Source organism: Homo sapiens, chromosome 3, assembly GCF_000001405.40.
Source record: "Homo sapiens chromosome 3, GRCh38.p14 Primary Assembly".
NCBI lineage: Eukaryota > Metazoa > Chordata > Mammalia > Primates > Hominidae > Homo > Homo sapiens.
In genome coordinates, this window is record NC_000003.12 from 176,320,550 (window position 1) to 176,333,841 (window position 13,292).

At 40.2% G+C, this 13,292-nt stretch overlaps 5 annotated features.

Annotated features, from left to right (window-relative positions):
• Nucleotides 658-1,501: an enhancer, noted in NCBI's record as "OCT4-NANOG-H3K27ac hESC enhancer chr3:176038995-176039838 (GRCh37/hg19 assembly coordinates)". NCBI's record gives its function as "activates a minimal SCP1, AML or CMV promoter by ChIP-STARR-seq in primed H9 embryonic stem cells {active_cell/tissue: H9 hESC(primed)}" and the evidence as "EXISTENCE:reporter gene assay evidence [ECO:0000049][PMID:30033119]".
• Nucleotides 1,502-2,344: an enhancer, noted in NCBI's record as "OCT4-NANOG-H3K27ac hESC enhancer chr3:176039839-176040681 (GRCh37/hg19 assembly coordinates)". NCBI's record gives its function as "activates a minimal SCP1, AML or CMV promoter by ChIP-STARR-seq in primed H9 embryonic stem cells {active_cell/tissue: H9 hESC(primed)}" and the evidence as "EXISTENCE:reporter gene assay evidence [ECO:0000049][PMID:30033119]".
• Nucleotides 5,956-6,555: an enhancer, noted in NCBI's record as "OCT4-NANOG-H3K27ac hESC enhancer chr3:176044293-176044892 (GRCh37/hg19 assembly coordinates)". NCBI's record gives its function as "activates a minimal SCP1, AML or CMV promoter by ChIP-STARR-seq in primed H9 embryonic stem cells {active_cell/tissue: H9 hESC(primed)}" and the evidence as "EXISTENCE:reporter gene assay evidence [ECO:0000049][PMID:30033119]".
• Nucleotides 6,556-7,155: an enhancer, noted in NCBI's record as "OCT4-NANOG-H3K27ac hESC enhancer chr3:176044893-176045492 (GRCh37/hg19 assembly coordinates)". NCBI's record gives its function as "activates a minimal SCP1, AML or CMV promoter by ChIP-STARR-seq in naive and primed H9 embryonic stem cells {active_cell/tissue: H9 hESC(naive and primed)}" and the evidence as "EXISTENCE:reporter gene assay evidence [ECO:0000049][PMID:30033119]".
• Nucleotides 10,092-10,386: a silencer, noted in NCBI's record as "tiled region #8736; HepG2 Repressive non-DNase unmatched - State 24:Quies". NCBI's record gives its function as "represses a minimal TATA promoter and a strong SV40 promoter by Sharpr-MPRA in HepG2 cells {active_cell/tissue: HepG2}" and the evidence as "EXISTENCE:reporter gene assay evidence [ECO:0000049][PMID:27701403]".

A 13,292-nucleotide genomic window follows, 5' to 3' on the forward strand; every position in this document is an offset into this window, starting at 1 on the left:
CAATTGAACAAGTAAAAACAAATAATCCCATTAAAAAATGAATGAAAGACACAAGAAGAGACACTTCACCAAAGAAGATATATACAATTGGTCAAGAAACATAAAAAAATCCTCCACATCACTAATCATCAGAGAAATGCAAATTGAAACCACAGTGAGATACCACCTCATATCAGTCAGAACGGCTATTATTAAAAAGTCAAAAATAACAGATACTGGCAAGGTTGCAGAGAAAAGGGAATGCTTATACACTGCTAGCAAGAATGTAAATTAGTTCATCCACTATGGAAAGCAGTTTGGAGATTTCACAAGGAACTTAGAACTACCATTTAATCCAGCAACTCCATTACTGAGTATATACCCAAAAAAACAAATCATTCTACCAGAAAGACGCATGCACTTGCATGTTTAATGCAGCACCATTCACAGTAGCAAAGACATGGAATCAAGGTAGGTGCTCATCAAAGGCACGCTGGGTTGAAAATGTGGTATATATACATCATTGAATACTACAGAGCCATAAACAAGAATGAAATCATGTCTTTTGCAGCAACATGGATCCAGCTGGAGGCCATTATCCTAAGCAAATTAAAACAGCAACAGAAAACCAAATACCACATGTTCTCACTTATACGTGGGAGCTGAACATTGGGTACTCAGGAATATAAAGATAGCGACAACAGAACCTGGGGACCTCTGGGGCCAGGGGTGAAGGGCTGAAAAACTACTGGGTACCATGTTTAGTACCATGGTGATGGGATAATACACACCCCAAACCTCAGCATCACATAGTATACCCAGATAACAAACCAGCACATGTACCCCCAATCTAAAGTAAAAATTGGAAGAAATATACATGTTCCTTTGATATCAGATAAAGTCAAACATCTCAACACACACAAAAAACTGCATTTCACAAAGAAGGTAGGCAATTCACAGTGGTAACTCCTTTTCTTTCTACTATGTATTAGTGGTAAATATTTGGGCAAATGTAGATTTTAATAATGTATTCATTAGCACATATGTAATGTAATATTTCAAGAATTCCACCAAACACACAAAGTGTGTTTCATGCCTGTCCGTGTGAAGAGACCACCAAACAGGCTTTGTGTGAGCAACATGGCTGTTTATTTCACCTGGGTGCAGGCGGGCTAAGTCCGAAAAGAGAGTCAGCGAAGGGAGATAAGGGTAAGGCCGTTTTATAGGATTTGGGTAGGTAAAGGAAAATTACAGTCAAAGGGGGTTTGTTCTCTGGCGAGCAGGAGTGGGGGTCGCAAGGTGCTCAGTGGGGGTGTTTTTTGAGCCAGGATGAGCCAGGAAAAGGACTTTCACAAGGTAATGTCATCACTTAAGGCAAGGACCGGCCATTTACACTTCTTTTGTGGTGGAATGTCATCAGTTAAGGTGGGGCAGGGCATTTTCACTTCTTTTGTGATTCTTCAGTTAGTTCAGGCCATCTGGGCGTATACCTGCAAGTCACAGGAGATGCCATGGCTTGGCTTGGGCTCAGAGGCCTGACATTCCTGCCTTCTTATATTAATAAGAAAAAATAAAACAAAATAGTGTTGAAGTCTTGGGGCAGCGAAAATTTTTGGGGGGTGGTATGGAGAGAGAATGGGCGATGTTTTTCAGGGCTGCTTCGAGTGGGAATAGGGGTGGCGTGGGAACCTAGAGTGGGAGAGATTAAGCTGAGAGGAGGTCTTGTGGTAAGGGGTGATATTGTGAGGATGTTAGAAGAAACATTTGTCGTATAGAATGATTGGTGATGGCCTGGATACGGTTTTGGATGAACTGAGAAACTGAATGGAATAACAGACGGAGAAAAACAGGTATAAAAGGTCTAAGAATTGGGACGACTCAGGATATCTGATTAGAGAGTGCCTAAGGAGATTCAGCATAGTCCTGCCAGCAAAGACTATTTATTTACTTCAAGTGTTAAGAGTGGCAGTTTGGGGATAGCACCAGGAGATATCAGCTGTGATGGCTTGGAGAAACAGTGTAAACTGGCAGTGTAAACAAGAGCAGGGCATGTATGAGTAGTTGAGAACGGTGAATAGGAGTATGACTAGACAGAAGATAGTAGGGATGACAAGTTTTTTTGGGGGCACAGTCTAAGTTGGTCTGGTGTCTGGAATGAGACTCGGGCCTAATAAAAAGGAGCGTCTATACAGGAGCTTAAATGGGCTGTACCCTGTAGCATTCCGAGGACAGGCCTGAATTCTGAGAAGGGAAAGTGGTAAAAGTATTGTCCGTCCTTTTTAAGTTGGTGGCTGAGCTTGGTGAGGTGTGTTTTTAAAAGACCTTTAGTCCATTCTACTTTTCTTGAAGACGGAGGACCGTAAGGGATATAAGGGTTTCACCGAATACTAAGAGCCTGAAAAACTGCTTGGCTGATTTGACTAATAAAGGCTGGTCTGTTATCAGACTGTATAGAGGTGGGAAGGCTAAACTGAGGAATTATGTCTGACAGAAGGGAAGAAATGACTGCAGTGGCCTTCTCAGACCCTATAGGAAAGGCCTCTGCCTATCCAGTGAAAGTATCTACCTAGACTAAGAGGTATTTTAGTTATCTGACTCAGGGCATGTTGAGTAAAGCTAATTTGCCAGTCCTGGGTGGGGCAAATCCTCGAGCTTGATGTGTAGGGAAGGGAGGGGGCCTGAATAATCCCTGAGGAGTAGTAGAATAGCAGATGGAACACGGAGAAGTTATTTCCTTGAGGATAGATTTCCACGATGGAAAGGAAATGAGAGGTTCTAAGAGGCAGGCTAGGGGCTTGTACTATAGCATAGCCTGCCTTTGCTGGTGTGTGGCGATTAGGCCTGGTGGAACTGCCATCAATAAATCAAGCGTGATCAGGGTGAGGAACAGGAAATAAGGAAATTTGGGGAAATGGGTGAATGTCAGGTAGATCAGAGAGATGCCGTCATGGGGGTCAGGTGTGGTATCAGGAATAATGTGGGAGGCCGGATTGAAGTCTGGACCAGGAACAACGGTAATTGTGGGAGACTCAACAAAGAGTGAGTACAGCTGAAGGAGCTGGGAAGGAGAAAGTATATGCGTCAGGTATGAGGAAGAAAATAGATTTTGGAAGTTATGAGAACTGTAGAGAGTGAGTTGAGCATCGTTTGTGATTTTGAGGGCCTCTAAAAGTATTAAAGCAGCGGCAGCTGCTGCACGCAGACATGAGGGCTAGGCTAAAACAGTAAGGTCAAGTTGTTTGGACAGAAAGGCTACAGGGTGTGGTCTTGGCTCTTGTGTAAGAATTCTGACCGTGCTAACCATTGCTAGGAAGGAAAGGAGTTGTTGTTTTGTAGAAGGTGCTGGGGTTTGAGAGATCAGTCGGACACGATTGGCAGGGAAAGCACATGTGTTTTTATGAAAATTATGCCGAGATAGGTAACAGATGAGGAAGAAATTTGGGCTTGACTGAAGTAATGGGGGCTGTCTGTGAAGCTTTGCGGCAGTACAGCCTAGGTAATTTGCTGAGCTTGATGGGTGTCAGGGTCAGTCCAAGTGAAAGCCAAGAGAGGCTGGGATTAAGGGTGCAAAGGAATAGTAAAGAAAGCATGTTTGAGAATAATGGGTTGTAGAGGCAGGTATCGAGGATAGGAGAGTATATGGGTTTGGCACCACGGGGTGGATGGGCGAAACAATTTCGTTGATAAGGCGCAGATCTTGAACTAACTTGTAAGGCTTGTCTGGTTTTAGGACAGGTAAAATGGGGGAATTGTAAGGACAGTCTATAGGCTTTAAAAGGCCATGCTGTAGCAGGCGAGTGATAACAGGCTTTAATCTTTTTAAAGCGTGCTGCGGGATGGGATCTTGGCTTTGAGCAGGGTGAGGGTGATTAGGTTTTAATGAGATGGTAAGAGGTGCGTGATCGGTCGCCAAGGAGGGAGTAGAGGTGTCTTATACTTGTGGGTTAAGGTGGGGGGATACAAAAGGAGGATGCAAAGGAGGCTTTGGATTGGGAAGAAGGGCAGCAATGAGATGCAGCTATAGTCCAGGAATAGTCAGGGAAGCAGATAATTTGGTTAAAATATCTCAGCCTAATAAGGGAACTGGGCAGGTGGGGATAACTAAAAAAGAGTGCATAAAAGAATATTGTCTAAGTTGGCACCAGAGTTGGGGAGTTTTAAGAGGTTTAGAAGCCTGGCTGTCAAAATGCACAACAGTTATGGAGGCAAGGGAAACAGGCCCTTGAAAAGAAGGTAATGTGGAGTGGGTAGCCTCTGTATTGATTAAGAAGGGGACGGACTTACCTTCCGCTGTGAGAGTTACCTAAAGCTCGGCATCCGTGATGGTCTACGGGGCTTCCGAGGCGATCAGGCAGCATCAGTCTTCAGCCGCTAAGCCAAGAAGGAGTCAGTCAGAGAGCCTTGGGCCAGAGTTCCAGGGGCTCTGGGAGTGGCTGCCAGGTGAGTTGAACAGTCCGATTTCCAGTGGAGTCCTACACAGATGGGACACGGCTTAGGAGGAATCCTGGGCTGAAGGCATTCCTTGGCCTGGTGGTCAGATTTCTGGCACTTGCAGCAAGCTCCTGGGGGAGGAGGTTCTGGAGGAACGCCTGGCCGCTGCGGTTCAGGCGTTTGGAAGTTCTTGTGTGCTGGAGATGTGGCTGGGGTTTGTCTCACAGTGGAGGCAAGGAATTGCAACTTTTTTTTTATTATTGTACACCTTGAAGATGAGGTTAATTAAGTCCTGTTGTGGGGTTTGAGGGCCAGATTCTAATTTTTGGAGTTTTATTTAATGTCGGGAGCAGATTTGGTAATAAAATGTATATTGAGAATAAGATGGCCTTTTGACCTTTTAGGGTCTAGGGCTGTAAAGCATCTCAGGGTTGCTGCCGAAGGAGCCATGAACTGGGCTGGGTTTTTATATTTGATAAAAAAGAGCCTAAATGCTTCTGATTTGGGATAAAGAAAAAGGAGCATTAACCTTGACTATGCCTGTGGCTCCAGCCACCTTTTTAAGAGTAAATTGCTGGGCAGGTGGGGGAGGGCTAGTCACAGAATGAAACTGTAAGCTGGACCAGGTGTGAGGAGGGGAGGTGATAAAAAGATTATAGGGTGGAGGAGCGGAGGCTGAGGAAGAATTGGGACCTAGCTTGGCCTGGCGAGGAGGGGAGAGGTCAGATGGGTCTGTAGGAAAGGAAGATTAGAAAGACTCAGCAATGCTTGGGGTTGGGACTGAGGGGACAGGCAGGAGGGAAAGAAGGAAGATTTGGGACGAGTTGCACTGGGCACAGAGACTAGGAAGGGACTGATGTGTAAAAGAATGCCTGGACGTCAGGCACCTCAGACCATTTGCCCCTTTTACGACAAGAATTATTTAGATCTTGTAGGAAGGAAAAATTGAAAGTGCCATTTTCCGGCTATTCAGAACTACTGTCGAGTTTGTATTGGGGTCAAGCGGCATTACAGAAGAAAATAAGATGCTTAGATTTTAGGTCAGGTGAGAGTTGAAGAGGTTTTAAGTTCTTAAGAATATAGGCTAAGGGAGAAGAAGGAGGAATGGAAGGTGGAAGCTTGCCCATAGTGAAGGAGGCAAGCCCAGAGAAAAGAGTAGAGACACAGAGAAGGGGTAGGGGTTTCTTGCCCTCCAGAAAATCAGAGAAAGGGTTGGGGCATGGAAATAAGGAATTGGGGCACAGAGATAAGAGGTTGGGGTGCAGAAATAAGGGATTGGGGGTTCTTGCCCCCTAGAAAAGCGGAACTTGCTGCTAAGGGTGAAGGAGAAGGGGTTGAGGGGTACTTGCCCCTCCCCCAGAAAAGCAGGACTTGCCGCTAAGGGTGAAGGAGAAGGGGTTGAGGGGTACTTCCCCTCCTCCAGAAAAGCAGAGAAGGGGTAGAGACAAGGAGAGAAGGGGTTGGGGTACTTGCCCCTTCCCCAGAAAAGCGGGACTTGCTGCTAAAGGTGAAGGACCAAGGCAGGCGTCCCTGCGTGGTCTGACACCTTTGAAACGTGAGTGAATAATCAGAGAGGTGTCCCTGCAATGATTAAACACCAAGGGAAGGCTGCCTTCCCATTCCATAACCGGTGCTGGAGTTTTGGGTCCACGGATAAAACTTGTCTCCTTTGTCTCTACCAGAAAATGAAAGGAATTGAAATTAAGAGACGGGAGAGATTGAAGTGTGGCACCAAGATTGAAAGGAGAAAGAGGTTGAGGGATAGTGAGGGAAGCCGGAGAAGAGAATGAAAAGAGGCCGCTTACTGGATTTGAAATTGGTGAGATGTTTCTTGGGCTGGTCGGTCTGAGGACCTGAGGTCGTAGGTGGATCTTTCTCACGGAGCAAAGAGCAGGAGGACAGGGGATTGATCTCCGAAGGGAGGTCCCCCAGTCTGAGTCACGGCACCAAATTTCATGCACGTCCATGTGAAGAGACCACCAAACAGGCTTTGTGTGAGCAACATGGCTGTTTATTTCACCTGGGTGCAGGCAGGCTGAGTCTGAAAAGAGAGTCAGTGAAGGGAGATAAGGGTAGGGCCGTTTCATAGGATTTCGGTAGGTAAAGGAAAATTACAGTCAGAAGGGGTTTGTTCTCTGGCGAGCAGGAGTGGGGGTCGCAAGGTGCTCAGTGGGGGTGCTTTTTGAGCCAGGATGAGCCAGGAAAAGGACTTTCACAAGGTAATGTCATCACTTAAGGCAAGGACCGGCTATTTACACTTCTTTTGTGGTGGAATGTCATCAGTTAAGGTGGGGCAGGGTATTTTCACTTCTTTTGTGATTCTTCAGTTACTTCAGGCCATCTGGGCGTATACCTGCAAGTCACAGGAGATGCGATGGCTTGGCTTGGGCTCAGAGGCCTGACAGTGTGTCTCTATAATCCCTTATCACTCCATTTCTTATATACACAGAAGTGCATGTCAAATTTTTTGGACATTTCTTTATACTTGTATTACATAAGTATTTAATATCTCTTTCCACTTCTAAAATAATGGCAAATCATTTAACCCTGCTCAGTGATTTTCTTGTCAGAGTAAATTTCACTCAGGATTGTGAATCTAACACACAGACTACTCTAGTTATTTTGTTTAAAACATAAAAGCCTACTGTGGCTGTGGTTTTAATAGGCTTCTGGATTTCATATTCCAAGGAATTCCTCAGTCACAAACTTGAAATGTTCCCAACACATAGAAATGATCAATGTTTAAGATGATGGGTACTCCAAATACCTTGATTTGAACATTACATGTTCTATGCTTGCAACAAAAGATACCCCCATAAATATGTAAAATATTATGTATCAATTTTAAAAAATAAATTCTTTGGTCATCTTCTGTCTCCAAACTATGTTGCCTCTTAAGTTAAAAGCATTCTGTCTTCACTGAAAATCTATGAAAATAGCAAAATCAGTTTCTTAATAGATTTCAGCAATTTGATTCCTATTTCAGTAGGCTCATTTCATGGCTTGTGAAAACATTGACATATTGCAAAAAGTTAGGTTGGAAGATCCAAGTGCCAGTTATTTGCAACTTACGACATTTATCACCAAAGATGGGTGTGACCCATCTTCATTAAAAAACAGCTAACAAATGATTATTGGGCAGTTCTCTGTTGGAAGAAATATATATTAGGTGGTGAATGTAATGCAAAAAAAAAAAAAAAAATGCAAATCAGGCTTCAGAAATTTGGAGACAAACACCAGGAGAAATTTGTTCTTAAACTCAGTCTTAGAAGAATGATGAAAATTTTCAGGGATTTTTTTTCCCCTTCAAGATCTATAACTGGATAGCAAACTGGATAAAGTTTATACAAGTCAAAGTCTTAACTGAATCACTATGTAAATACATGGAGGAATGATGCATGTTAAGGCAACCAGAGACATTTATAACTCAAAGAGAAAGAGTCCTATTCATTAACATTACAATCTTACAGAGAAAGTCACTTAATCATATGGTAATATCCATGGCCTACACAAAAGAAAAGGAATCAGTATCAGTTCTCACTGGAAATTAATATAGTCTTTAAAATAGAAAGTAAAAGATGTAGGTGCTTAGAAAGTATTTATAACATTTAAAGGAATAAATATTGGTTTGTATATCTTTATTATATTTGGAACAAGAATGATGTTCTGTAAATCCACATATCTTGTTTAGTAACCTCTCCACTTTATCTAGGCTGTTTTTATTTAATATTCACAGCAAGGCATTTTATAACAGTAATATATATTATGTGCATTTCAACTATAAAGTGTTACAATAGCTGACACTGCACACTGCATCCAAATCCTCTAATAGAGTTTCAAAATTTTTCACAAATTCATCTTATTCCTTCAACAGAAGTGATCCCCAGTGAATCTCTCTCCAGCAATTGGCTTTACATCAGAAAAATTTAGTTCCCTGGACAAAGGAAAGAGAACATTTGCTTTAGTATCGTAGACTTTTTTCCCCCAGCATATCAGATTTATCTTGCTTTTTAAAGAAATCCATTTTATCTCCACCTCCTAAAATCAATAGAAAATATATCTTTATAAATTCTGTGTTTAATCCACCTGATAAATAACATGTAGTTATATAAGATTACACAGTAGTTTATGCTAATGCATTTGCCACTGTTGTTATTATCATTAGCATTTATTAGAAAATACTATGAAAGAAGGCAAAGAGCAATAAGGAACAATGTAGACAGAAAGAAAGTAGTACTAGCATCTATTCTCAACATTTCCTTAGCATCTTTTTGTAAAATCACTTTCCTTCACCTTTTACATGCCATCTAATTCTCAACTACACAAAAGAGTCTTCATTCTGGAAGCTATCAACAATTTTGGCCCACATCAAGTTTGGCCTTCATAAAAACTGTGTCTGAGGCAATTGAACGAACAATAGCCAATACAAGGCTTTATAAATTTAACAGTTGAAAAAATAGCAGAAATGCAAGGTTAATCCAGCAAATTTATACAGACATAATTAAAAGTCACACATACACCCACCAATGACAAGGGCACCTGTGCAATCAAACTGTTTTCTCTGGCCAACTTCTCAATCAATTGTATATTATTCTCTTGGAGTTATGATGCGGTCAACAGATTCATGTACAAAGACAATTGAAATGACCAAACCACCTTTTCCAAAATACAACCATTTAAGCCACGCAAATAGAAATGTAGCACTGTAAGGACCTTTTATTTAAATTTATTTTTCAAATGGTCAAAATAAACTAAGAAAAACAAGCAAGTCTTGGCAATATTCAAACTTAGCATATCAAGAGGTTTGTCACAAGTGGAAACTATTCAATGTAGAACTAACATTATTCAGTGAGAGTCAAGGAGAATTGTAGCAATTGAAAGCATTCAAATAATAAAATACTTTAATTTTACTTTTAATTTCATTTCTAATGTCCTGCAAAGCCCACTTGACTTCTTCACAAGCTTTCCTTATACTAAGTTTTCTATAGAAGGTATGACTACATATTATATTTCTGCTAATCTTCGGGGCAGGAGGAGAAATTAAACTAGTGTTTTAATCAGTATATAAAAATGTTTTATCAGGCCAGGCACATTGGCTCACGCCAGTAATCCCTTTGGGAGATCGAGGCAGGCGGATTGCCTGAGGCCACTAGTTCAAGACCAGCCTGGCCAACATGGTAAAGCCCCGTCTCTACTAAAAATGCAAAAATTAGCTGGGCGTGGTGGCACGTGCCTATGGTCCCAGCTACTCAGGAGGCTGAGGCAGGGGAGTCTCTTGCACCCGGAAGGTGGATGTTGCAGTGAGCCGAGATCACACCACTGCATTCCAGCCTGGGTGACAGGGTGAGACTCTGTCTCAAAACAAACAAACAAGCAAATAAACAAAAAATGTATTATCTATTATCATACAAAGCCCAAACAACTGCAAGTACCAATAGATAAATATACCCTAAAAGTCTTATTTTATATTTAGAATAGTCATGTCAAAATGGTTATCTCTACCAAATGCTATCATGTACACAATGATATTTTTCAACAAGAAACCACAACTAATCATTGTACAGCATGCCCTGCTACTGAACTAGGTGGGCCCTCGTAATGTAGTTTCAAAAATACTTTCTTGAGCCAGTTTTTAGGTCTTGGTGAAAAGTGGATCAGTTCTCCTTTTTAAGCAGCTGATAAGTTCACACAGGAACAACTTCCCATTATCCAGCTCTCACACTTCCAGGTTAGTATAAACCTTCCCTATTCATCCCAGGGCGAGGTAGTAAAGAAGTAAAAACACCTCCTATCCCTACAGCCCACAAAATTAATTAAATTCACCAACTTACATGGATGGGGTAGATGTAGCTAAACCCACCCCACTTGCCATTCATAAGCTGCCCACTTCTGGCTCCAGTTTGCTGTGACCTTGTCCTTAGCACAACTCCCAGAGTGGCCCTGCCTCATAGCCTTCTCTTATTTGAAGCAGTAAGTAGCAAACAGTTCTGCTTTTCATCTATCCAAGTGTTAGTGTGTTGTGTTATGCCATCAGAAAAAAAAAAAAAAAAACAAACAAGCAAAAAAAAAAACTTTCTATTTTATAAAATAATCCTAGGGCACTAGAGTCTTCATGACTAATTGTCATAAATGAAAGAAATTCACTCATGTGTAAAATCAATTCATTTTATTTTTTCCTTATGCACAGGTGTACATAAAGTGTGAAAAATGAATAATTTTATTAACTTTCATAAAAATACCTTTGCACAAATGTCGATTGTTACGAAGAATTATTTGGATCAATTCCGATGTTCTCATATTTAAATGTTAACAGTCTTCCTTCCTTTTTCCCATCTACGGCAGTAGAGAGTTTAGAGAAGAGAGAAACAACCACTGACAACTTTTTAGTCTTTTTGGTGTTTTCTTTATGTGACATAGTTATTATCTAAATGTAGAGAGATTTTTAATCCTTAAAATGCTTTGCTCTTTCTACCATATTACATATTACTGTCTTTGTATGAAAAGTATAGATATAATAAAATTGTAGGATTTAATTAATACCAAATCATATCTTCTTACCTCCATAAAAGAAGAAAATAGAAACTTCAGATATATTGGATATTAAGCTATTATAAGAGGAGCAAAAACTGAGAGTAAAATGCAGAAACTAATAAAAGAAAATAAAATACAAATGTAGGGATCCCACCCCTCCCCCAGTGTGTTTTGATAGTAATAAAGTAATGGAGGAGAGATAGGAGATTTGTTAACGTAAAGATTGTCCACACAAGAAAGCTTTTTTCATTTACATGTATTTATTTAATTACTAAGGAGAGAAAGGAAGAGAACTAACATTTATTTGGCATCTGGCATTTTCTGGGCACTGGCTCAATGATTTCACATTTTTCTTACTCTATACAACATCATGATGTGGTAATTATTATCCCCATTTTATATACAAGGAAACAGGTTCAGAAACACTAAAGGGTTTGCTCAAGTTTGCATATCTAATAAAGATTATGAGCAGGATTTCCACTCCCACTTTGGATCTGAAGCTTATAATATTCGTTCCCTATAGGTAAAAGAGATTCATGGCAAGAAGGTGGCTACTGATGCATAGAAGCCAGAGAAAACATTAACCCATAAATTGGTTCATTTAAATAACTATGTATTAAAAATTGTGAAAAGAAATACTAGTTGATAAAATGAGACTGAATCACAAAGAAGATATGAAATATCCAAACAAACAGAAGACACATAATATGTAGGATGGAAATGTACATAAAATATATCAGGGTAGTTATGTCAAAAAATAAGCAGCAGGAGCTTTATATTATTATACAGCTTAATTCTTAGTATTGGGGGATTACATTTATTTTTGTTTGCTTGTTTTTTCATTCACATGCCTTGAACGTTAAATTGGATAGTAGTTGAAACATGGAAATATGTAAAGTGGTCACATATAGACTAATTATTTCAGTTATTCTAATGATTAGACATGGATCTTTTAGCACAATCTATTTTGAGACGGTCCTATAATTGGTTTATGGAGTCACATGGATATTCAAGAGTACTACTTTAAAAACATTATAGAAAATGTTCACTTCCCAGAAGATGGAGTTCTGAATGCATTTTTAAAAAATATCTCTTACTATGTACAGTTAAAAACCCTACACATTATATGTAAACAAACGTAAGAAGATCCTCAAAGGTAGAGAGAAGAAGGCGACCAATTAAGGACCCTGGGACCCAAGAAACAACACAGTAGTAAGTCCCTAAGTTTTGTTTTTGGCTCGTATATCATTGACTTAGAGCTGAAAAAAAAAAAAAAACTGGTAAGCCAAAAATGCCAATGGGCATAGACAAAAAATACATATATATATATATATATATTTTTCCAATATATATATGGAGATTGGATATATTATATATATCCAATCAAAATCCTTCTTTGTCTAGCCCAAGGACTGTGAAAGAAATAGTCTAGAAAGATATAAAACTTTAAACAATAATGGTTTTACTCCAGACAAACACATAGAAAAAAAAAAAAAACTGTGGCCCGACCCTACTCACAGTAGCAAAGGTTGAGTGGGGAGCCTAGACTTCCATTTTCAACTGGCTTGATGAGGCAGCCCAAAGCCTTCCTCCCTGAAGGTGGTATCAGAAAGACTAAGTAGAAAGCTAGCACTTTCATCCCTACCCAGCAGTAATGAGGAGACCCTACTCCTCACTGCTGGAGTGGTGCCAGAGGAAGCCTCACACAGTCAGGACTTCCATCAACACCCATAAATAACAAGCACTTTTTCTCTCCACCCTACCCACCTAGAGTCAGATGTTAGTGGAGGCTGTGCAGTGAGCAGTAATGAGGAGTATTCCCACACATGTCAGCTGTCACTGAAGATTCAGTAAGGAGCCTGGACTTGTACGTAACTGCCTCCCACATCTTGCAGTATTGAGGCAGAGTGCCTTTTCTTCCCCTGGTGAAGTATTGTCAGAAAAAGCCAATGAAAAGAAGTTTAAATAAGACTCGAAATCTTATAACATAATACCCCAAATATTTAGCTTTTAATCAAAAATCATTTGTCATAACAAAAAGAGTATACTGAGTGGGAAAGGAAGTGAATACTGAGAAAATAGAGATGTTAGAATTCTCTGAAGAAGATTTTAAGACAACAATAAAGGAAATATTTCAACAAACATTATAAACAAGCTTGAAATAAATTTTGAAAAGAGGAAGTTTCAGCAAAGTGATAGAATACAGATACTCCTCTACTCATAGTGGGATTACATTCCTAATAGCCCATTGCAAGTCAAAAATATCATAAGTCAAAAATGCATTTAGCATCCACAGTGAACTCATCCGAAAGTTGAAATATCCTAAGTCATCCTAAGTCAAGAACTTATAT